This window comes from Homo sapiens, chromosome 7 (genome assembly GCF_000001405.40).
Source record: "Homo sapiens chromosome 7, GRCh38.p14 Primary Assembly".
NCBI classification, from domain to species: Eukaryota; Metazoa; Chordata; class Mammalia; order Primates; family Hominidae; genus Homo; species Homo sapiens.
The window spans coordinates 5443412-5466680 of record NC_000007.14 but is presented as its reverse complement, the minus strand read 5'-3'; the positions used below and the strand labels follow the sequence as shown (position 1 = coordinate 5466680).

The window sequence follows — 23269 nt, the reverse complement described above, 5'->3', positions numbered from 1 at the left end:
CATGCCCCAGTCCCCAGATCCCATGATTGCGGGTTCTGTGGCAGAGGGGAACGGAAGTTGCGGATCAGCGGACCTTGAGATGTGGAGAGGCTCTGGGATTATCCTGGTGGCCCAGTCCAATCACCAGGGCCGTGGAGGCAGGAGAGGAAGAGCCGAGGGCTGGTGAGGGAGAAACACGGGCAGTTGCTGGAGGGAGGACCTCTAGCAACTCTGTGTGCTGGAGAGGCCGCACTGTGTGTGAGGTCCTCCCTCCAGCCAAGGAGTGCAGGCAGATTCTAGAAGCTGGCAAAGGCCAGGAAAGGGGATCATCCCCCAGCACCTCCAGGAGGAGCACGGCCTGCACTTGACCTGAGCCCAGGGAGACCTATCTCGGACTTCTGACCCTCCAAGACTGTAAGAGATTTAACCTGCATTTCTTTAAGGCACTGTGTGGTAATTAACACCGTTTCTTCCAGATGGAAGGGTTTCTGGTGACCTCTTTTTTTTTTCTTTTCTTTTCTTTTTTTTTTTTAAATTCTCTGATGTCTTTTACCAGACTTGTTTTTTAAAAATAGATTCAGGAGGGCCAGGTGCGGTAGCTCACGCCTATAATCCCAGCATTTTGGGAGGCCGAGGCAGGCAGATCACCTGAGGTTAGGAGTTCAAGACCAGCCTGCCCAACATGGTGAAACCTTGTCTCTACTAAAAATACAAAAATTAGCTGGGCATAGTGGCTGGCGCCTGTAATCCCAGCTACTCGGGAGGCTGAGGCAGGAGAATCGCTTGAACCTGGGAGGCAGAGGTTGCAGTGAGCTGAGATTGTGCCCCTGCACTCCAGACTGGGCGACAGACTAAGACTCCATTTCCAAAAAAAAAAAAAAATTTAGGAGGTACCTGTGCAGCTTTTGTACATGGGTGTATTGTATAATCTGGGGTTTGGGCTTCCAGTGAACTCATCACCCAAATAGCGAACATAGTACCCAATAGGTAGTTTTTCCACCATTTCTCCCCTCCCTCCCTCTCTCCCCCTTTTTCCAGATTTTATTTTTGTTTATTTTTATTTTTGAGACACAGTCTTGCTCTGTTGCCCGAGCTGGAGTGCAGTGGTGTGAGGTGGGAGGACTGTTTGAGTCCAGGAGTTCAAAGCTGCCGTGAGCTATGATCGCACCACTGCACTCCAGCCTGGGCAACAGAGTGAGACTGTCTCAATCAATCAATCAGTCAATCAATCAGTCCACTTTGAGAGGCTGAGGTGAGTGGATCACTTGAGGTCAGGCGTTCCAGAAGAGCCTGACCAACATGGTGAAACCCCGTCTCGACTAAACATACAAAAATTACCTGTGTGTGGTGGTGTGCGCCTGTAGTCCCAGTTACTTGGGAGGCTGGGGCAGGAGAATCACTCAAACCAGGGAGGCGGAGGTTGCAGTAAGCTGAGATCATGCCACTGCACTGCAGCCTGGGCGACAGAGCACGACCGTCTCAAAAAAAATAATCAATAAAATCGTACCTATCATAGATCTGGTAAACAAAAAATAGTTCACAGTCTATTGATCCCAGAGAGAAGTTGCAGAAACTAGATACGATATGATCTTTTATTTTGATTGTAAGAAAGTTGTTTATTTTATTAGTATTGTTTGTTGAGATGGAGCTTCGTTCTGTCGCCCAGGCTGGAGTGCAATGGCACAGTCTCGGCTCACTGCAACCTCCATCTCCTGGGTTCAAGTGACTCTCCTGCCTCAGCCTCCCGAGTAGCTGAGATTACAGGCGCGCACCACCACAACCGGCTAATTTTTATATTTTTAGTAGGACGGGGTTTCACCGTGTTGTCCAGGCTGGTCTCAAACTCCTAACCTCTGGTGATTTGCCCACCTCGGCCTCCCAAAGTGCTGGGATTACAGGTGTGAGCCACCACGCCCAGCCACTGGTAGTTTTTTTTTTTTTAATATCCAAACAAATGTGAATATATGTTCCATGCTCCCACCCACTTTTTTTTTTTTTTTTAATTAACCATCTTAGTGTTTTTTTTTTTTTTTTTTTTGAGATAAGAGTTTTGCTCATTGGCCCAGGCTAGAGTTCAGTGGTGTCATCTCGGGTCACTGCAACATTCGTCTCCTGGGTTGAAGCAATTCTTCTGCCCCAGCCTCCCAAGTAGCTGGAACCACAGGCACCTGCCACAACGCCCAGCTGATTTTTGTATTCTTATTTTATTTTATTTTATTTTCGAGATGGAGTCTTGCTCTGTCTCCTGGGCTGGAGTCCAGTGGCGTGATCTCGGCTCACTGCAACCTCTGCCTCCTGGGTTCAAGCAATTCTCCCTGCCTCAGCCTCCCGAATAGCTGGGATTACAGATGTGCGCCACCATGCCTGGCTAATTTTTGTATTTTTAGTAGAGACAGGGTTTTGTCATGTTGACCAGGCTGGTCTTGAACTCCTGACCTCAGGTGATCCGCCTGCCTCGGCCTCCCAAAGTGCTGGGATTACAGGCATGAGCCACCATGCCCAGTTAATATTTGTATTTTTAGTAGATACAGGGTTTCACCATGTTGGCCAGGCTGGTCTTGAACTCCTGGCCTCGTGATCCGCCCACCTTGGCCTCCCAAAGTGCTCCGATTACAGGCCTGAGTCACCGCGCCCGGCCAGTTATTTAAAAATGTATAGTTCAGGCCAGGTGCGCGGTGGCTCACACCTTAATCCCAGCACGTTGGGAGGCTGAGGTGGGTGGATCATGAGGTCAGTAGTTCGAGACCAGACTGACCAACATGGCGAAACCCCGTCTCTACTAAAAATATGAAAATTAGCTGGGTGTGGTGGCGCACGCCTGTAATCCCAGCTACTCAGGAAGCTGAGGCAGGAGAATCGCTTGAACCTGGGAGGCAGAGGTTGTAGTGAGCCGAGACTGCACTACTGCACTCAAGCCTGGGCGACAGAGCGAGACTCCGTCTCAAAAAAAAAAAAAAAAAAAAAAAAAAAAAATAAATAAATAAATAAATAAATAAATATATATATAGTTCAGGGGCATGAAGCACATTTATGTTGTGCAATCATCACCACCATCCATTCCAAAACTTTTTTTTTTCTGTTTTGACACAGGGTCTCACCCTGTCACCCAGGAGGGAGTGCCGTGGCACAATCGTGGTTCACTACAGCCTTGACCTCCTGGGCTCAAGCAATCCTCCTGCCTCAGCCTCCCAAGTAGCTGGGACTGCAAGCATGCACCACCACACCCATCTAATTTTAAATATTTTGTGGAGATGAGGTCTTGTTATGTTGCCCAGGCTGATGTGGAGCTCCTGGCCTCAAGTGATCCTCCTGCCTTGACCTCCCAAGGCGCTGGAATTACAGGCCTGAGCCACTGCCCCAGCCCTCATGGCCAAATTCTTAGGTGGACGTGTTTTCAATTCTCTTGGATATATACTAGAAGTAAAATTGCTAAGTCATACGGCAACATTTTCAGGAAATGCCAACCTGTTCTCCTCAGCAGCTGCACCATTTTATATTCCCACCAGCAATATTTGAGGGTTCCAATATCTTCATGTGCTTGCCAACACTTGCTGTTTTCTGTCTGTTTGATTACAGGCATCTTAGTAGATGTGAGGTGGTAGTATCTCATGATACTTTTGATTTGTATTTCCCTGATGGTTAATAAGGTTGGGCTTCTTTGCATGTGCTCACTGGTCATTTATGCATGTGTGTGTGTATATATATTATATATATATATATATATATATATATTTTTTTTTTTTTTTTTTTTGAGACCAAGTCTCACTCTGTCGCCCAGGCTGGAGTGCAGTGGCGCGATCTTGGCTCACTGCAAGCTCCGCCTCCTGGGTTCACACCATTCTCCTGCCTCAGCCTCCCGAGTAGCTGGGACTATAGGCGCCCGCCACCACACCTGGCTAATTTTTTGTATTTTTAGTAGAGATAGGGTTTCACCATGTTAGCCAGGGTGGTCTGAATCTCCTGACCTCGTGATCCATCCGCCTCGGCCTCCCAAAGTGCTGGGATTACAGGCATGAGCCACTGCATCTGGCAAAATTATTTTCATATTGTTATTAAGATGTCATTTGCGGCTGGGTCCCCAGTAAGAGAGTGGAGATTCCTGAGAGCAAGCATTTGAGAGCTGCAGGTGAAAACATCGTCTCTCAACCTCATTTGGCCACAATCCATGGCGAGCTGGGTACTGCCTGCAACGCCTGACCCAGCCCGGGGCCTCCCTCTGCCATGGCTTGTGACATAGTGACTGATTCTGTTTTATGTAATTTTATGTAAAAAGGAAATGCGTGCCAACAGGAGATGAATTCATCTCCCAACGTACCAGTGGGTACCCACAGTGGGGTAGGTAATGCCTGGCTTCCTGTACCGGCCTCGGGCAAGTGAATACTTTCATTTTTTCTCTGTAAAATGAGATAATGATGGATGGGCCCACCTCACGGCGTTCTGTGAGGATTTTGTTTCTTTTCTTTTATCTTTTTTGGAGACAGAGTCTCACTCTGTTGCCCAGGCTGGAGTGCAGTGGTGCGATCTTGGGTCACTGCAGCCTCCACCTCCTGGGTTCAAGCCATTCTCCTGCCTCAGCCTCCTGAGTAGCTAGGATTACAGGTGTGTGCTACCATGCCAGCTAATTTTAGTAGACGGGGCTTCACTGTGTTGGCCAGGCTAGTCTCGAACTCGACCTCAGGTGATTCAGTCCCTCATAGTGCTGGGATTACAGGAGTGAACCACTGTGCCCAGCTGATTTTGTTTCTTTTTTTTCTTTCTTTTGAGACGGAGTCTTGCACTGTCTCCCAGGCTGGAGTGCAGTGGCATGATCTCGGCTCACTGCAACCTCTGCCTCCCAAGCTCAAGTGATTCTCCTGCCTCAGCCTCTCGAGTAGCTGGGACTACAGGCGCCCGCCATCATGCCTGGCCAATTTTTGTATTTTTAGTAGAGACAGGGTTTCACCATATTGGCCAGGCTGGTCTCAAACTCCTGACCTCAGGTGATCTGCCCGCCTTGGCCTCCCAAAGTGCTGGGATTACAGGCATGAGCCACTGCGCCTGGCCAATTTTGTTTCTTTTAGAGACAGAGTTTTGCTCTGTTGCCCAGGCCAGAGTGTAGTGGCACGATCATAACTCACTGCAGCCTTGACCTCCTGGGTGTAAGCAATCCTCCCACTTCAGCCTCCCAAGTAGCTTGGACTACAGGCACTCACCACCACACCTGGTAATTTAAATTTGTAGGGATGGCGTCTTGTAATTAGGTTGGTGCAAAAGTAAAGGTGGTTCTTGCCATTACTTTTAATGGCAAAAATCACAATTACTTTTGTATCAACCGAGTATGTTGCCCAGGCTGGTCTGGAACTCCTGGGCTCAAGCGATCCTCTGGCCTCAGCCTGCCAAAGCGCTGGGATTACAGGTAGAAGCCACCGTGCCTGGCTGGAAGGAAGAAAATGCAGCCGATTAAGGAAGTGCCCAGTGCAGTGCCCAGCACATAGTAGGTGCTCAATAAATGTGAACTCCTGCCCTTGTTATTCCCTGACCTATCCCTGAGCTGCTGAGCTGGGCTCAGGTCCGGCTGTGTTTGCAGCCACCTGCCACCCCGAGAGTGCAGGACTGGAGCCCTTCGGGGAGGGTTGGGCACCAGGACACCAGGAGAAAGGCTGGCGGGGACCTAATGCAGAAGGCAATTTATGGTGCAAACACAGCACTTGTGCGTGGAAGGAAAAGATTTTCTTTGAACAAACGAGACTCTCAGCCCTGTTTCCCAGTAGCACGATTACTTCAGAACTGTGCAGCTTCCACAAAACAAAAAAATATGGTGAGGGATGAAGGGAGGTGAGAACGCCCTTGCAGCTGGTGGAACAAATGTTTCGGGGCTGCAGAGGGGCGGCAATGTGCAGATAGCGAGGCCGGGCTTGGGATGGAGGCCCGGGTGCACGTCCCAAGCCTCTGCCATCAGATTAGGCCTGAGTCTGGGCATGGTGGCTCACGGCTGTAATCCCAGGGCTTTGGGAGGCCGAGGTGGGCAGATCGCTTGGGGTCAGGAGTTCAAGACCAGCCTGGCCAACATGGTGAAACCCCATCTCTACTAAAAATACAAAAATTAGCTGGTGTCGTGGCACATGCCGGTAACCCCAGCTGCTCGGGAGGTTGAGGCATGAGAATCACTTGAACCCAGAAGGCAGAGGTTGCGGTGAGCGGAGATCGCACCATTGCACTCCAGCCTGGGTGACAGAGCGAGAACCTGTCTCAAAAAACAAAATAACAAAGTTATGAATTGAGGCATTATTTGAGGGAGGGGGAGGAAGGGGCGTGGTAATGACAGACTCATGGTATCTCTGTGTCTTCAACTATTGGCCTTTGTATTTGCAGAGTGTTTCATGATTATATTAAATTTCACAATGTCTAACAATTAATAGTAGCCCTATTTCACTATGTGTCAGGCACTGTCTTTTTGTTTGTTTGTTTTTTTGGAGACCGAGTCTCACTCACTCTGTCGCCCAGGCTGAAGTGCGATCTTGGCTCACTGCAACCTCCACCTCCCAGGTTCAAGTGATTCTCCTGCCTCAGCCTCCCAAGTATGTGATATTACAGGCATGCACCACAACACTTGGCTTATTTTTTTTGTAGAGATGGGGTCTCACTATGTTGCCTAGGCTGGTCTTGAACTCCTGGCCTCAAGCAAGCCTTCCGCCTCAGCCTCCCAAAGTGTTGGGATTACAGGCACGAGCCACTGTGCCTGGCCAAAAGGCTGCGTGACTCATCAGGTGACTGCTATGCCCTTGTGCCATTTATTTATTTATTTATTTAGAGACAGAGTCTCACTCTGCTGCCCAGGCTGGAGTACGACAGCGTGATCTCAGCTCACGGCAGCCTCTGCCTCCTGGGCCCAAGTGATTCTCCTGCCTCATCCTCCCGAGTAGCTGGGATTACAGGTGCACACCACCATGCCCAGCTAATTTTTTGTATTTTTTTTTTTTTTTGAGATGGAGTCTCACTCTGTTGCCCAGGCTGGAGTGCAGTGGCACAATCTCTGCTCACTGCAAGCTCTGCCTCCCAGGTTCACGCCATTCTCCTGCCTCAGCCTCCTGAGTAGCTGGGACTACAGGCGCCTGCTACCACGCCTGGCTAATTTTTTGTATTTTTAGTAGAGACGGGGTTTCACCATGTTAGCCAGGATGGTCTTGATCTCCTGACCTCGTGTTCCACCTGCCTCGGCCGCCCAGTGTGCTGGGATTACAGGTGTGAGCCACCGTGCCCAGCCAGCATTTTTTGTGTTTTTAATAGAGATGGAGTTTCACCATGTTGGTCAGGCTGATCTCAAACTCCTGACCTCGGGTGATCCACCCGCCTTGGCCTCCCAAAGTGCTGGGCTTGCAGGCATGAACCACCACGCCCGGCCCCCTTGTGCTATTTATTGATTACTTACTGTACTGGGGCTGAGCCAAGGCCAGGGCCCTGTGGTCCATCTCTGCAGACCTGTGTCTGGTAAAATCCTACCGCCGGCCTGAGTTCTGGAGTAGGTCACACGTTTGTTTTCTTTTCTTCTCTTTCTGTTTTTTTCTTTCTTGAGACAGTGTCTTGCTCTATCATCCAGACTGGAGTGCAATGGCATGATCATGTCTCACTGCAGCCTCGACTTCCTGGCCTCAGGCAGTCCTCTACCCTCAGCTTCCTCAGTAGCTGTGACTATAGGTACATACCACCATGCCCAGTTAATTTTTTGTAGAGATGGGCTGTGGGTGGAGGGGTCTTACTATGTTGCCCAGGCTGGTCTCAAACTCCTGGGCTCAACCAATCCTCCCAACTTGGCTTCCCAAAGTGCTGGGATTACAGCTGTCAGCCACCACATCCAGCCCACACTTGCTTTCAAAATGCCCTGCCAACCCAGCAGCCAGCGTTGACATTTCTGCTCTGTTAAGACATTGTTTGCCTCCGGGTTCAAGTGATTCTCATGCCTCAGCCTCCAAAGTAGCTGGGACTATAGGCATGTGCCACCACGCCCAGCTAATTTTTTTTTTTTTGGGGGACGGAGTCTCGCTGTGTTGCCCAGGCTGGAGTGCAGTGGCGCAATCTTGGCTCACTGCAACCTCTGCCTCCCGAGTTAAGCGATACTCCTGCCTCAGCCTCTTGAGTAGCTCGGATTACAGGTGGACGCCACAATGCCTGGCTAATTTTTGTATTTTTAGTAGAGACGGAGTTTCATCATGTAGATCAGGCTGGTCTCGAACTCGTGATCTCGTGATCCGCCCGCCGCAGCCTCCCAAAGTGCTGGGATTACAGGCATCAGCCACCACGCCCGGCCAATTTTTGTATTTTTAGTAGAGACGGGGTTTCACCATGTTGGCCAGGTTGGTCTCGAACTCCTGACCTCAAGCGATCCACTCGCCTTGGCCTCCCAAAATGCTGGGATTACAGGCGTGAGCCACTGTGGGTGGCCAGAAACCTCTCTATACAGAGCAAGGCCTTGGGGGGTGGTTTTATTGACGGACAGTGTGGACCCGTCTCCCTGCCCGTTCGCTGCTGTGTTGCCCAGAAACAACTGACTGTCCCTTATCAGCTCTGAGACAAACTTCAGCCAAATCCTGAAACGGTCCCACCTGCTTTTCAGTTTGTGGTTTAAGGTTTTGGGGTTGTTTTTTTTTTTTAAGGAAGTGAAATGAACAATTCTCCTCTGGAAGAGAAAGATAAGGCTTGAATCCGCCGGAGCAATGTCTGCTGGAAAGAAATATTTTTTAACTTGTGGGCAGTTCTCCAGCTGGGCTGTGTGAGTGAGGAAGCTGGCAGCGCTCTCGCTGAGAGAATTGAATAGTTGCTCCGTCGTGGCAGGGGTTCCTTTCCCCGGCGAGGCAGGCTGTGGGCCCAGGCCAGCCAGGCACAGCGATAGGGATGGCCTTCCGCCATAACGTGGCCTGGAGATCTGGTGAACTGGGAGGCCTGGACCCATTCCCCAGGCCAGCCACCTCCTCCCTCCAAAACACCCACTCCTGGCTGATGGGGGCCACTTGGGGCACCACAGACCTTTGCTATCTAAAAGCTGCATTTCCCAAGCCTTCCGTTGCTTTTTAAAATACAGCTTGACCCTCCCTGACACTGCAGAGTCATTCTCTAGCTTGCTGCCCTCTGGAGACTGCTGTGTATGGCTTCCGAGGTGGCCTTAATGCTCCATTGAGTTTCTGCAGGAACTCACTCCCACCACCTGTTGCAGGATGTGTTTGGTAGCAAATAATAAAAAACCTAGCTCGAAACAGCTTCACAATGCAGGGAATTTGGTGTGATGGAAAATGTGCAGTGGTAGGGTAGGCTTCAGGTCGAGCTTGATCCAGCAGCTTACATCTCTAAGGACTCAGTTTAGGATAGCTGCCAGCCAGCTGGGCTGTGGGATTCCTTGTTTATTCCTACTACTGAACCAATTGCTCTGACCAGGGGAATGAGAGCACCTTGATTTGCTTAGAGTAGTCACCCATTCTGTGGCACCCACACCACACAGCTGCCACAGAATGGGACAGATCGAATTTTGTGGTGCTCACAGAGTCCCCCCAATCCCTTTGTAAAATGTAGTATAGTGACTCCTGTGGAACTGACCTGAGCTGAGCTCATCTGAGCTGTCCTCTGACCATCACCCACAAGTCTGTGTGTTCTTAGAGGGGACAGCCCTAGGCCAGGTGCAGTGGCTCACGTCTGTAATCCCAGCACTTTGGGATGCCAAGGCAGGTGGATCACTTGAGGACAGGAGTTTGAGACCAGCCTGGCCAACATGGTGAATTTCAATCTCTACTAAAAACACAAAAATTAGCTAGGCATGGTGGCGTGCACCTGTAATCCCAGCTACTTGGGAGGCTGAGGTGGGAGAATCACTTGAACCAAGGAGATGGAGGTTGCAGTGAGCCGAGATTGCACCACTGCACTCCAACCTGGATGACAGAACAAGACTCTGTCTCAAACAAACAAAAAAAGGGGACTGGCCCATTCTGTTCTGAGTCTCAGCACCCAGGGCCATCCCTTCTCACCTCCCAACCTCCCTTCTCTGTTCTCTGCTCCTAGCCATGCTGGCCTCCTTTCCATGCCTTTTTTTTTTTTTTTCCATACCTTAAGTTCTCTGCCCTTGGCCTGCCCCAGGGCCTTTGCACAAGCTGTTCCCTCTGCCTGGAGCCCCCCCACCTTGCTGAGTTTGCTGCTTCTGCTTATTCTTCAGGATTCAGAGAATCTGCCCTCAGGCTCTGCCTCCCTGCTCTCAGGGCCCCTTGGGCCTCGCCTGTCCCCACTTCCCAGGGTTTGTAATTGACCGCGTGAGATGAGGGGTTTCTGTGCGAGCACATCGTGATGAGTTTGAGATCCCCCTTGGTTTGTCCTCCCACTGATTCGAGCTGCCCCCAAGCTCACTGCCTTGGGAAGGGGTGAAGTGGAAACTGAGGGATGGCTGGCTTTGCCTCCTGAGAGCCCAGGGCAGGCTGACTGGTGCAGGGGGAGCACTGTCCCGAGAGAGCAGATGCCATGGGCCTAAAGGACCAGGGATGGGAGCAGGCAGCGGGTTCCTGGGCAGAGCTGAGCCTCGGGGAGGACAGCAGTGGGGACTGGTCTGCTTTTAGGTCCCATGATGACGTTAGGTGGGAGCAGGAGTTGCCAGTTTCGGTGGGGTGACCGGGCCAGTGCAGAACGGAGGTTGGGTCGTTCAGGAAGCAGATGCTGAGAAGGACTGCGGAGGGCAAACGGGTTCTTGGGGTTTGAAGGAGGAGTGACACTGGGGAAGGAGCACAGAGGGAACGAAATGCGGCAGGGAGCTGTTAGACTGCGATGCTGGAGCCAGCACGGCCCATGAGAGAGTCCCGCATGGGGCAGAGATGGCCAGGTCTCGCCCGCTCATTGGCTGGGGTCATATGGAGAAGAGTGTGATCTTGCTGAAGGACCAAACTCTCTCCTGGCGCCATGGAAGTGGTGTGTGTGTGTGTGTGTGTGTGTTTGTGTGTGTGTAGTGGGGGTGGGGGGGAGGCACCATCTAGGGACATCCAAAAAGTTCTGTTTCCCACTTCCCCGAATTCACAGCCTGGGTTTGAGCCCCCCTGCGGGGAAGTGGATGGTCAGCAATCCCGGAGGATCTTCTCAGGACCGACTTGGCGCCATGGGAATGCAAACCCATAATAGGAGCCCATTCCCACCGAGGGGATGGCACTGTCCTGTGGGGAATCAGGGAGGACAGGAGGGGCTGGGCTTGTGGAATTGCTTCTGACGCCAGTGAAGCCAGTGGCGAGCAAGGAGACTAAGGTAGTGCTCCCACGAGAGTGCTCCTTGATGCTACTCCCCAGATAGGCTCCCCAAGAGTACTCCCTAGAGTACTTCCCTGAGGGTGCTCCCCAAGTATGTGGCCTGAGAATGTTCAAGTATGTGCCCTGAGTGCTCCTTGAGAGTGCTACCCAAGCATATGCCCGAGAATACTCCCTGCAGGTGCTCCCGATACTGCTCCCCAGATATGTTCCCCCCCAAGAGTGCTCCCCAGATATGCTCCCAAAGAGTACTCCTTGGAGTGCTCCTCTGAGAGTGCTCTCAAGATAATCCCCAAGAGTCCTCCCCAGTAGTGCCAGGGTTGCTCCCTGAGCAAGAGGATAGGAAGCCAGCCTCGAGTTTGCTGATGAGGCTAACCTCACAGCAAACTCCTAAAGTGACGGCGTGGAAGGTGGCACTCGGAGTGCCAGTGTGACTGGGATCACTCTTAGAGCACCACCCTCCAGGCTCTGGTTTCCCCAACTGTAGGGGTGAGGGCGGCATTGGTAAGCAAACTCTACCCTTTAGGATTCGAGAGATAGAAAATCCCAAACAACAGCGGCTTAGCCAAGCAGCGCGTCCTCTCTCACTGGCAGCTCGGGTGGCCATCTGCGCTGATGGGCAGTGGGGGAGGCGTCTTATGCCCTGGGGACGCCTTCTCCTCCGTGAGTCCCCACTCTGCAACCTGGGTGCTGATGGGGCCCTGCAGGCTGGAGGGTGTCCCTGTCCTCGGCTCCCAGGCTCTGTTGCTCCCTCGCTGTGTGCCCTGGGGCAGCTTCCTGAACCTCTCTGAGCCTCACTCAGGGCCCCATCTGTAAAATGAGGTTCTTTCTTTTCACTCATTGAGGAACTCATTTCTTTCCTCCTGCTTCTCAGAAATCAGTCTGGATGGGTAACAAGACATCAAACTGATACTAATCCAGTGGCCTCTGGAGTGGATGCACAAGATCATTTACTCACGTGAGAAAAAAAAAATAACACTTTCTTTTTAAGTTATTCTTTTCTATAAAATAAGAATAAAACAGCCGAGGCAGGAGGATCACTTGTGGCCAGGAAGAGTTCAAGACCAGCCAGGGCAACATAGTGAGACCCCATCTCTACAATAATCAGAAATCTTAAAAAATTAGCCGGATGTGGCTCGGCACCGTGGCTCACACCAGTAATCCCAGCACTTTGGGAGGCGGAGGCAGGTGGATCATGAGGTCAGGAGTTCGAGACCAGCCTGGCCAACACGGTGAAACCCCATCTTTAATAGTAATACAAAAATTAGCCAGGTTTGGTGGCAGGCACCTGTAATCCCAGCTACTCAGGAGGCTGAGGCAGGAGAATCGCTTGAACCTGGAAGGCAGAGGTTGCAGTGAGCTGAGATTGTGCCACTGCACTCCAGCCTGGGCAAAAGAGCAAAACTCCGTCTCAAAAAAAATAAATAAATAAATAAATTAGCCGGGTGTAGTGGTGCATGCCTGCAGTCCCAGCTACTTGGGAGGCTGAGGCAGAAGGATCGCTTGAGCCCAGGAAGTGGAGGCTGCAGTGAATCATGATTGTGCCACTGTTCTCCAGCCTGGGTGACAAAGCAAGACTCTCAAACCAAACAAACAAAAACTTTGCAGGCCAGTAGCAGTGGCTCATGCCTGTAATCCCAGCACTTTGGAGGCTGAGGCAGGAGGATCACTTGAGCTCGAGTTCAAGACTAGCCTGGGCAACACAGTGAGACCCTCTCTCTAAAAAACAACCAACCAACCAACCAAACTTTGCTAACATTGAATGTACAGATTTGCCTGACTTGTGCTGGTAGGGATCTGGAGCAATCACATTTATCTGAGGCCCCGGCTGTATGGCTCTGTGCAAGCTGCCCCTTTCCTGAGGCCTCAGTTTCCCCCTCCTCCTTTGGGAGGAGACACAGAACAGTCCATGAGATGCTTGGAACAGTGCCTAGAAGGGAGCCGCCGAAAGTCGTAGCTGTCCCTGTCCCATGGGAGAGGTGGATCCTCCCAGGGGAGGAGGGCCGGCCCGAGGTGCTCTGCTCACCCTTTGACTTCGTGTTTGGGACACTCGGAGGCTGGCGTGCGGCCGAATAAGTGGATCTATAGATTAACAAAACTAATCCTAATGAGATGGGTGTATGGCTTAAGAAGATTCTTGCTAAAAAAAAAAAAAACAAAACCTTCCCCCCACGCAAACCCACAAAATCCATCTCAGATTAGAGAGGAATGGTGCAAGCCTCTTGCTCCTTGGAACCCGAGGAGACAGTGGGGGTGACAGTGACGTCATCACATGCTGGCCTGTTGCTATTGGCTGGATGGCCAAGAAGTACCACCCAGTGACCCCCAGCAGGAAGAGGCCCAAATCCATGACATCATCCAGAAGATCCTTTCAAAAAGGGATTTGTCCCCAGTGCCCTTCACAGTCACTGCTGGGAGGAAGAGAGGGGTTTAGAGATGTTTCTTGGCTGGGCACGGTGGTTCACACCTGTAATCCCAGCACTTAGGGAGCCCAAGGCTGGAGGATCACTGGAGCCCAGGAGTTGAAGACCAGCCTGGGCAACACAGCAAGACTCTGTCTCTATATAAAAGAAAATTTTAAAAATAAAGAGAGAGAGAGATGGAGAGACAGAGACAGACAAATAGGCAGAGACAGAGAGAGAGGCAGATGGAGACAGAGATAGCAAGGCAGAGACAGAGATCGAGACAGACTGAGACAGAGATAGAGAGACAAACAAGACAGAGACAGATGGAACTGACAGATTAACCGGAGCGGGGAGAGGAGGCGGGAGGGCCGGGAAGCTGAGCCTGGCGGGCAGGACCTGGAGGCTGACCAGGCCTGGGGCCTCCCCGGGCTGATGCGTGGCCACTATTTCCAAGGCGTGGCCAGACTGGCCCAAGCTCCCCTGATGTTCCGGCCTCTCTGGGCAGAGCGGGGCGGGGCAGGGCACTCAGTGTGCCCTCTGTGTGGGGACAGGGTGGGTCTGCACCTTGGAGGGGAGGAGAGGGGGGCAGGTTCCAGCCCTCTTTCCCCCATGGGGTCAGCTGAGGTTTGGGGATTTCAGGGACATTCCAGGTGCGGGTGCAGCAGCTGCCACCAGACTGCGGGGTGTGGGGCCAGGGACAGGCATAGACCAGGCCCCCAGGAGCGGCTGGGCTCTGAGCCGTCCCTAGGGTGTGGTGGGCATCAGGGGCAGGGCTGGCCACCCCCTCGGCCCCTGCAGTGTGGCCAGGCATTGCCAAGCCATGGGGTCAAGTGTGCCCACCCGCTCCAGTGCAGATGGGGAGACTGAGGCCCCGAGAGGTGGTGGCCAGCCCAGGACCACAGGCCACCCTGGGGCAGGCAGGAGGACCAAGGCTCTGTCTCTTGAGCTCGGCCTCTCCACACAGCCTCCCTCCAGGTGGTTCAACGTCCATGACCAGCCCCCGTCACTCGAGGAGCCACTTGGGGGTCTCCAGGGAGGTCCCTTAAGCCCTCTCCTGTGCACTGCGTCCCTGGCTGTGCCACGCTGGGTACGTGGGCTCAGGTTGTGCCCCAGGACTGCCTCTGGGCAAAGTGGTGGCCCAGCTGCTCCCTGCAGACCCTGGGAGGAGGGGAGAGTGGGGATGGGGAGGACCCTCCTGGGGTGGGACTGGGGCCTGGAGTGGGAGGGTCAAGAGGATCAGGGCAGCAGACACCTCCTAGGTCGGCCCTGGGCTCAGCCCTGGACACGTGGGGATCCTGAAATCATGGCAGCACCACGGAGGAGGCCTGGCTGGGATGGGACAGTCCCCAGGCCATGACAGTGTGAGGAACACAGAGCAGGGTTTGGGGAGGTCACAGCCGGCGGAATGTTCTGGAAGGCTTGGCTGAATCACTGTTAGCAAGACTGAGGAAGCTGGAAAAAGCATTCTGGGGAGGGAGCCGCAGGTGCAGAGCCCCCGGGTGGGAACCGCAGGGCCGTTTATGGGGCTGGCAGTGCAGCTTGGTGGGACCTGCGCCTCTCCCTGAGGCACAGCGCGGGCAGGACAGGTGTCTGTGTGTCTGCGAAAGCCTGCTGAGTCTGTGGGGGCCACAGAGAAGCTGGGGATGGGGCTGAGCTGTGACAGCGCCAAGGTGACAGGTGACTGTCCGGGTGACGGGAGATAGGCTCCGTTCAGGGCATGGTGAAGGACTTGGGGTGAAGTGGACACAGGCCAGGGGGACTGAGCAGAGGGACCCAGAGGAGCTGGAGGGGGGTGGCGGGAGGTGGGGCCCCTCTGAGCTGAGGCCTGGGGCCCCACACAGTGGGGGTGGAGTCGTTGTGTCTGAGATGGGAACCTTGAAGGCCTGCGGGGAGGTGATGTCTCAGCTGGAGTCACTGACTGGGGGCTGGGTGAGAACTCCAAGCTCTCGGAGCCGTTGGACAGGAGAAGGGGAGAGAGTAGGAGGGGACCTAAGCCGGGCACAGGAGTTTCCTGGGGCTGAGAGTTTCCCATGAGGAAAGAAGATGGTGGGTCAGGCGGGTGTGCTCCGCCCCCAGTGCCTCCACACCCCCCACCCTCCAGCCTGGGTGAACCCACCCATCCCAGCCTTGCTGGGGGCTGAGAGGCCCAGCCTGGGTTGCTATGGTGATGGGATGCGTGGCCAGCAGGTGTCACCAGAGCCTGCAGAATCTGGAAGGAGCAGGCGCGGACTGGTGGGGGGCGCCTGTGGGACCCTCTCCTGGGGCCCCCTCCAGCCAGACCAGGCCCAGAGAGGTGCCCTCAGAGCCACCTAGGCCAGGAGCCGGAGACACAGCCCCGCCATTGGGGACACAGCCCAGGACAGCAAGGAGCTCTGGTTGGGATCACGGGAGGGGGATGTTGGCTCAGGGGGAACCCTGTGAGGAGTTTCCAGTCGGCAGGCCTGTGAGAAGCCGGTTCTACCACCGTGGGATCCTGGGCCTCATTTTCCCCGTCTGTAAAATTGTGCCCAGGCCTTGCCCAGAGCAGGGAACCAGTAAGACTTAGAAGTGGCCAGGTGCAGTGGCTCATGCCTATAAACCCAACCTTTTATTTTGTTTTATTTTTTTGAGACGGAGGCTCGCTCTGTCGCCCAGGCTAGAGTACAGTGGCACGATCTTGGCTCACTGCAACCTCCGCCTCCCAGGTTCAAGCAATTCTCCTACCTCAGCCTCCCGAGTAGCTGGGATTACAGGCGCACACCACCATGCCTGGCTATTTTTTGTATTTTTAGTAGAGACAGGGTTTCACCATGTTGGCCAGGCTGGCCCCAAACTCCTGACCTCAAGTGATCTGCCTGCCTTGGCCTCCCAAAGTGCTGGGATTACAGGCGTGAGCCACCGTGCCTCGCCTAAACCCAGCTTTTTGGGAGGCCAAGGTGGGAAGACTGCTTGAGGCCAGGAGTTCAGGACTAGCCTGTGCAACATAGCCAGACTCTATCTCTAGAAAAAATTTAAAAATTAGCTGGGGATGGTGGTGCACATCTGCAGTCCCAGATACCTGGGAGGCTGAGGCAGAAGGTTGCTTCAGGCCAGGAGTTCAAGACCAGCCTGGGCAACATAGCCAGACTCTGTCTCTAGAAAAAATTTAAAAATTAGCCAGGTGTGGTGACGCACGCTTTCGATCCCAGCTACTTGCGAGGCTGAGGCAGGAGGATTGCCTGAATCTAGGAGTTTGAGGCTGCAGTGAGCTGTGATCGCGCCACTGCACTCCAGCCTGGGTGACAGAGCAAGACCCTCTCTCTAAAAAAAAAAAAAAAAAAAAAAGGAACTTCAAAGTATCTCTGGATCAGAAGCCACTTTGACCCAGGAAGCAAGGCACACGCACATGCACACGCCTTTGCACACACGTGTCCGCGGCGTATACAGAGGCACAAGTCTGAATTTCACTGCATTTCACTTCTTGGTTTGAATCTCCTGACAGGGCCTCTGAGGTCAGAGCCCCAGGCCTAGAACACGAATTCCACTGTCTAGAACCATCTACTGAGGCCCCAGGGAGGAAGCTTGGGCCAGGCAGGTCCTGGCTTTTAAAAAATTTGTATATATATACATATATACACACGTATATATATACACGTATATATATACACGTATATATATACACACGTATATATATACACGTATATATATACACACGTATATATATACACGTATATATATACACACGTATATATATACACGTATATATATACACACGTATATATATACACGTATATATATACACACGTATATATATACACGTATATATATACACACGTATATATATACACGTATATATATACACACGTATATATATATACGTGTGTATATATATGTACTTTTTTTTTTTTTTTGGCAGAGACAGAGGTCTCACCATGTTGGTCTTGAACTCCTGGCTTCAAGCGATCCTCCTGCCTCTGTCTCTCTAAGTGCTGGGATCACAGGTGTGAGCCACCGTGCCCAGTCCTGGCTTTACTGCTCCTGCTACGCACCCCTCTCTGAGCCTCAGAGGGGTCCCTGGCCTTGACATCTCCCCCCGGCTGGGCCATAGGACAAGGCCTGGTGACTGATGAATGAGGAAACTAGGTGGGGCCTCTGGAGAATGATGGAGGGCACGGTGGCTGGCGAGCAATTCCACCCTGGAATTAGGTGAATCTGCGGGCTCCCTCTAGCCCAGTCTCCCTCCCCTCCCCAGCCTTCCCCTCCTCTCCTCCCAGGAATGCTGCCAATGCTAGGGATATGCCGAGGCCTGCTCTTCTCCTAAATGAAGTCTCCGCTGCCGGCATTAGCTTACTTTCTGCAGAAAGCAAATTAAAGGGGCTGCTGAGGAAGGTATTTGGATCCTTGGGGCCGCTCCCAGAGTCCTTGCACCTGTCCAGGGGTGGATCTGGCCTGGGGGGCCACCATGGTTCCAGGGCCCCAGTCCCAGGCCCCTTCCTGGAATTCCCCTTCCCAACCCCTGCTCCTGCACGTCCAGCTTTCTTTTCAAAGTCTCGCCGGCCAAAGTGGGGAGGGGGGACTTGCCTGCTTCGTGCCTGGGGCCCTAGCATCAAAATGGCCAGTCGCCTGTCCCTCTGCGGGCTGTTTTGGCCTCTCAAGGTTACAGACCGTGTCTTTAAGTCTCACTGTATATTTTTTCTGATTATAAAAGCAATCAATTTTACCATAGAAATGTCAGGAAATAAGGCTGGGGGTGGTGGCTCATGCCTGTAATCCCCAAGATTTGGGAGGCTGAGGAGGATCACTGGAGGCCAGGAGTTCAAGATCAGCCTGGGCAACAGAGTGAGACCCCATCTGTACAAAAAATACAAAAATTGGCCAAGCATGGTGATGCATGCCTGTCGTCCCAGCTACTTTGGAGGCTGAGGCAGGATCACTTGAGCCCAGTAGTTGGAGGCTGTGGTGAGCTATGATGGCGCCCTGCACTCCAGCCTGAACAAGAGTGAGACCCTGTCTACAAAAGAAAAAAGGCAGTGCCTGCGTCTACCCCCTGCCTCTCTTCGGTCCATTTTTCTCCCTTTGTCTTAGGAGTCTGAGGCTCTGGCCCACCCCTCCCCACCTTCAGTGTGTTTCCTTCCACGGGGTGAGGTACAAAGAGGGAGGGCTGGGGTCAGGGCTGGGCACAGGGCGGGATGAGGTGGGTGAGGGTACCCGTGAGCTTCTCGCCAGGTCTCCTGCCCCACCCACAACTCCCCCAGCCGCTGAGGAGCCCCCAGCAGAGCTGGGGTTGAAGAGGCAGCTTGTCCCCCGACCTTCAGGAATGGCAGCCTGCAGCAACTGGAACAAGGCCCCACCGTAAAGCTCTGTGTGTCCCAGGTAAGGCTGAGAGAGAGAAAAAAGACCCCGACAGCTTTTGTCTGTTTCCTGGCAGGGATGGGGTTCTAAGCTCTCTTTGTCTAGCTGGGGAAGTGGCTTGTAGACCAGGTCAAGGGACAGAAAGCACGAATTCATCCATCCATTAGCCTATCTGTCTGTCTGTTTATCTATCTATCTATCTATCTATCTATCTATCCATCCATCCATTCACCCATCCACCCACTCTTCCGTTCACCTACCCACCCACCCACCCACCTGTCCATCCATCTACCCACCCATCCACCTATCCATTCACTCATCTATCCACTTCTCCATCCATCCATCCATCCATCCATCCACACACTCATCCATCCATCCATCCATCCACTCACCCATCTACTCATTCACCCACCGATCCACCTACCCACCCACCCACCCATCCACCCATCTACTCATCCATCCAAACACCCAATGTGGTAGCGTGTGCCTGTGGTCCCAGCTACTCAGGAGGCTGAGGTGGGAGAATCGCTTGAGCCCGGGAGTTTGAGGCTGCAGTGAGCTATGATTGTGCCACTGGACTCCAGCCTCAGTGACAGAGCAAGAGCCTGTCCCTTAAAAACTAAAAGAAAGTGGCAGTTTTGGAGAGCAAATGCAGCCAGGCCAGTGGCTGGAGAGGCCCCAAGTGGTACTAGAGCAGGTGGCTGTGGGATTGGGTGTTCTGTGTGGGCCTCCCTTGGCCATTCCTGGTCAGCAGTGGTTCGTGAGTTCTGGGCCACCAACCCTCCCTGTATCCTCTTTAGCAAAGTGGAGGGGCCTACAGGGTCACCAGCCCCCTGGGATATGCTGAGGGGGCAACTCTGGGCCAGGAACCCCTCACTGGGTGGGCACGCAGGGCAGGTGCCCTGGAGACCTGTCCCCCAGAATAGCCCCCTGGTATGCCCCTTCCTGGCCAGGCCCCGTTGGGTAAAGGGGGGCATGGTGGAGAAGGTGGGAGGGAATCAGGAAGGACCCCACCTCGGAGCACCAAGTCCTGTCCACCCGGCCCCACCACACTTTGATCTCAGAGCCCCCAGGGGTGGGAAGGAACCCATTTTCAGAATCCATTTCCTCCCTGTCAGTTACAGGGAAATCAGAAGAGAGAGACAATGCCAGAAAAAAACAAACAAAACAAAACAGAAAACCCTCCACAAACCATTAAAACATCCCCTCTCCCCGGCACTCCACCCTGGCCTCAGCATTGTTTTCCAGAGATTTCTTGGGTGAGAAGAATGAAATTCAGTTCAAAGAAATGTTTATGGAAAACAGTGTCCAGTGTCCAGTGCTGGCGGGGCAGTGGGGTCCTCTCCTGGGAGGAGCCTCGGCCTGTCGGGGGGACGGCTCTGAGAGTCCCCTCCTGTGTCCCCCATGGGGTGGGGCGCTGCAGGGAGCACTGCAGGTCGAGGGAGCAACGCTCAAGGTCAGTGCCCAGCAAGCTGAGGTAGGAGGCTCCGGGTATCCAAGAGCAGCCAGACCTCCTAGGGAGATGGGCGGGTGGCCACAGCCTAGGTTGCTTCTAATGACAGGAGTTTGCTCTTGCACAGTGCTGGAGGCCAGCAGTCCGAACTCAAGGTGTGGGCAGGGCTGGCTGCTTCTGGAGGCCGTCGGGGAGGCTCCGTTCCAGCCCTCCCTGCAGCTTCCCGAGGCTCCAGAAATCCTCGGTGTTCCCAGGCCTGTAGCTGCATCGCTCCCATCTGTCTCCGTCGTCACATGGCCTTCTCTGTGCCTGTGTCCCCTCCTTTTCTTTTCTTTTTTCTTTGTTTTTTTTTTGAGATGGAGTTTCTCTCTGTCACCTAGGCTGGAGTGCAATGGAATGATCTCAGCTCACTGCAACCTCCACCTCCCAGGTTCAAGTGATTCTCCTGCCTCAGCCTCCCGAGTAGCTGGGACTACAGGCACCCGCCACCACGCCTGGCTAATTTTTTGTGTTTTTAGTAGAGACGGGGTTTCACCATGTTAGCCAGGATGGTCTCGATCTCCTGACCTCATGATCCGCCCGCCTTGGCCTCCCAAAGCGGTGGGATTACAGGTGTGAACCAGCCCGCCCGGCGCCCCTCCTTTTCTTGGAAGGACACCGGTCACTGGATTTAGGGCCCATCCTAAGCCCAGGATGATCTCCTCTTGAGATACTTAACCAATGACACCTGCAAAGATCCTGTTTCCAAATAAGGTCACATTCTGAGGTCACAGGTGGACAGGAAGTTTTGGGGGAACATCATCCAACCCCCTGCAATGGGAAAATTGACATGCAACTATTTGTTGTTGTTGTTGTTGTTTTTGTTTTGAGAAGGAGTCTCCCTCTGTTGCTCTGTCGCCCAGGCTGGAGTGCAATGGCACAATCTCGGCTCACTGAAGCCTCCATCTCCCGGGTTCAAGAGATTCTCCTGCCTCAGCCTCCCGAGTAGCTGGGACTAAAGGTGTCTGCCATCACGCCTGGGTAATTTTTGTTTTTGTTTTTTGAGATGGAACCTCGCTCTGTCACCCAGGGTGGAGTGCAATGGTGTGATCTTGGCTCACTGCAGCCGCTGCCTCCCGAGTTCAAGCGATTCTTCTGCCTCAGCCTCCCAAGTAGCTGGGATTACAGGCGTCCACCACCATGCCCAGCTAATTTTTTTACTTTTAGTAGAGATGGGGTTTCACCATGTTGGCCAGGCTGGTCTTGAGCTACTGACCTCAAATGATCTGCCTGCCTCGGCCTTCCATAGTGCTGGGATTACGAGCATGAGCCACCGTGCCTAGCCAAATTTTTGTATTTTTAGCAGAGACAGGGTTTCACCATGTTGGCCAAGCTGTCTCAAACTCCTGACCTCAAGTGATGCACCCGCCTCAGCCTCCCAAAGTGCTGGAATTACAGGCGTGAGCCAATGTGCCCAGCATTTTTTTTTTCTTTTTTGAGACCGAGTCTTGCTCTGTCGCCCAGCCTGGAGTGCAGTGGCGCGATCTCGGCCCACTGCAAGGTCCGCCTCCTGGGTTCACGCCATTCTCCTGCCTCAGCCTCCTGAGTAGCGGGACTATAGGTGCCCGCCACCACGCCCAGCTAATTTTTTTGTATTTTTAGTAGAGACGGGGTTTCACCATGTTAGCCAGGATGGTCTCGATCTCCTGACCTTGTGATCTGCCTGCCTCGGCCTCCCAAAGTGCTGGGATTACAGGCGTGAGCCACCGTGCCCGGCCTTTTTTTTTTTTAAAGACAGGGTCTCACTGTGTCTCCCAGACTGGAGTACAGTGGCACAATCAAGGCTCACTGCAGCCTTGAACTCCAAGGCTCAAGAGATCCTCCTGCCTGAGCCTCCTCAGTAGCTGGGATTGCAGGTGCATGCCACCACACCCAGCTAGTTTTTAAATATTTTGTAAAGAAGGGGTCTTGCTATGTTGCCCAAGCTGGTCTCCAACTCCTGAGCTCCAGTGCTCCTCCCACCTCATCCTCCAGAGTAGCTGGGACTACAGGTGTGCACCACCACACCTGGCTAATTTTTCAATATTATGTAGAAATGGGGTCTCGCCGTGTTGCCTAGGCTGGTCTTGAACTCCTGGCTTCAAGTGATCCTCCTGTCTCGGCCTCCCAAAGTGCTGGGGTTACAGGTGTGAGTCACTGTGCCTGGCCCACCTACTGTGTTCATTCCCTAGTGCCGCGGTTACAAATGCCCACACGCTGGGTGGCTTCAGCAGCAGAAACCTATTGTCTTACAGCTCTGGAGGCCAGAAGTCCCAGATCAAGGTGCAGGCAGGGTTGGCTCCTTCTCTAGTCTCTCACGGAGAATCCTTCCCAGGCCTCTCTCCAGCCTCTGGTGGCTGCGGGCCACGCTTGGCGCTCCTGGGCCCGTTGCTGCTTCTCTGCAGTCTCTGTCCCGGCCGTCAGGCACTCGTTACGTGGGAGTGCGCTCTGTGTCTCTTAAGGACGGGAGTCATTGGATTTAGGGCTCACTCTAATCAGGCACGCTTATCTCGAGAGCCTTACCTTAATTCCATCTGCAGAGTCCGTTATTCCCAGTGAGAGCCTATCTGAGGTTCCAGTGGACATGTCTTTTCGGGGGACACCCTCCAACCCCCTACCGTGCTTATCTGTGGGTGGCTGGGTGACCCACCGTCCCAGGGATGAGAGGGTGCCTGGATGGAAGGTGTTCAGTGAGAAAACTGGGGCATTCCCGGGCACGCCGGGTCGGTCGGTCCTAGGGGCATTGAGTAGGGACTGGCATGTGGGTTTTGTAGCCTCGGTGGTAGGCAACACTTCCGGATGGAAGGGGGGGGCTCTGGGTGGGAGGAGGGGGACCTGCTGCCCACCAAGGGCCCCTCAAGGAC

General features: G+C 53.3%; 1 protein-coding gene across 1 annotated transcript in view, besides 3 other annotated features; it reads left to right on the top strand.

Annotated features, from left to right (window-relative positions):
* Nucleotides 1–12256, top strand: part of FBXL18 (F-box and leucine rich repeat protein 18) — a 59385-nt gene extending 47129 nt beyond the window's left edge. The window contains exon 5 of the mRNA NM_001363441.2: nucleotides 12094–12256. Coding sequence (NP_001350370.1) covers nucleotides 12094–12181 — 88 coding nt within the window. The 3' untranslated portion in view covers nucleotides 12182–12256. The remainder of the gene's footprint in view (nucleotides 1–12093) is intronic.
* Nucleotides 10476–10976: an enhancer, noted in NCBI's record as "H3K4me1 hESC enhancer chr7:5495336-5495836 (GRCh37/hg19 assembly coordinates)". NCBI's record gives its function as "activates a minimal SCP1, AML or CMV promoter by ChIP-STARR-seq in naive H9 embryonic stem cells {active_cell/tissue: H9 hESC(naive)}" and the evidence as "EXISTENCE:reporter gene assay evidence [ECO:0000049][PMID:30033119]".
* Nucleotides 14345–15050: an enhancer, noted in NCBI's record as "H3K4me1 hESC enhancer chr7:5491262-5491967 (GRCh37/hg19 assembly coordinates)". NCBI's record gives its function as "activates a minimal SCP1, AML or CMV promoter by ChIP-STARR-seq in naive H9 embryonic stem cells {active_cell/tissue: H9 hESC(naive)}" and the evidence as "EXISTENCE:reporter gene assay evidence [ECO:0000049][PMID:30033119]".
* Nucleotides 20138–20970: an enhancer, noted in NCBI's record as "H3K4me1 hESC enhancer chr7:5485342-5486174 (GRCh37/hg19 assembly coordinates)". NCBI's record gives its function as "activates a minimal SCP1, AML or CMV promoter by ChIP-STARR-seq in primed H9 embryonic stem cells {active_cell/tissue: H9 hESC(primed)}" and the evidence as "EXISTENCE:reporter gene assay evidence [ECO:0000049][PMID:30033119]".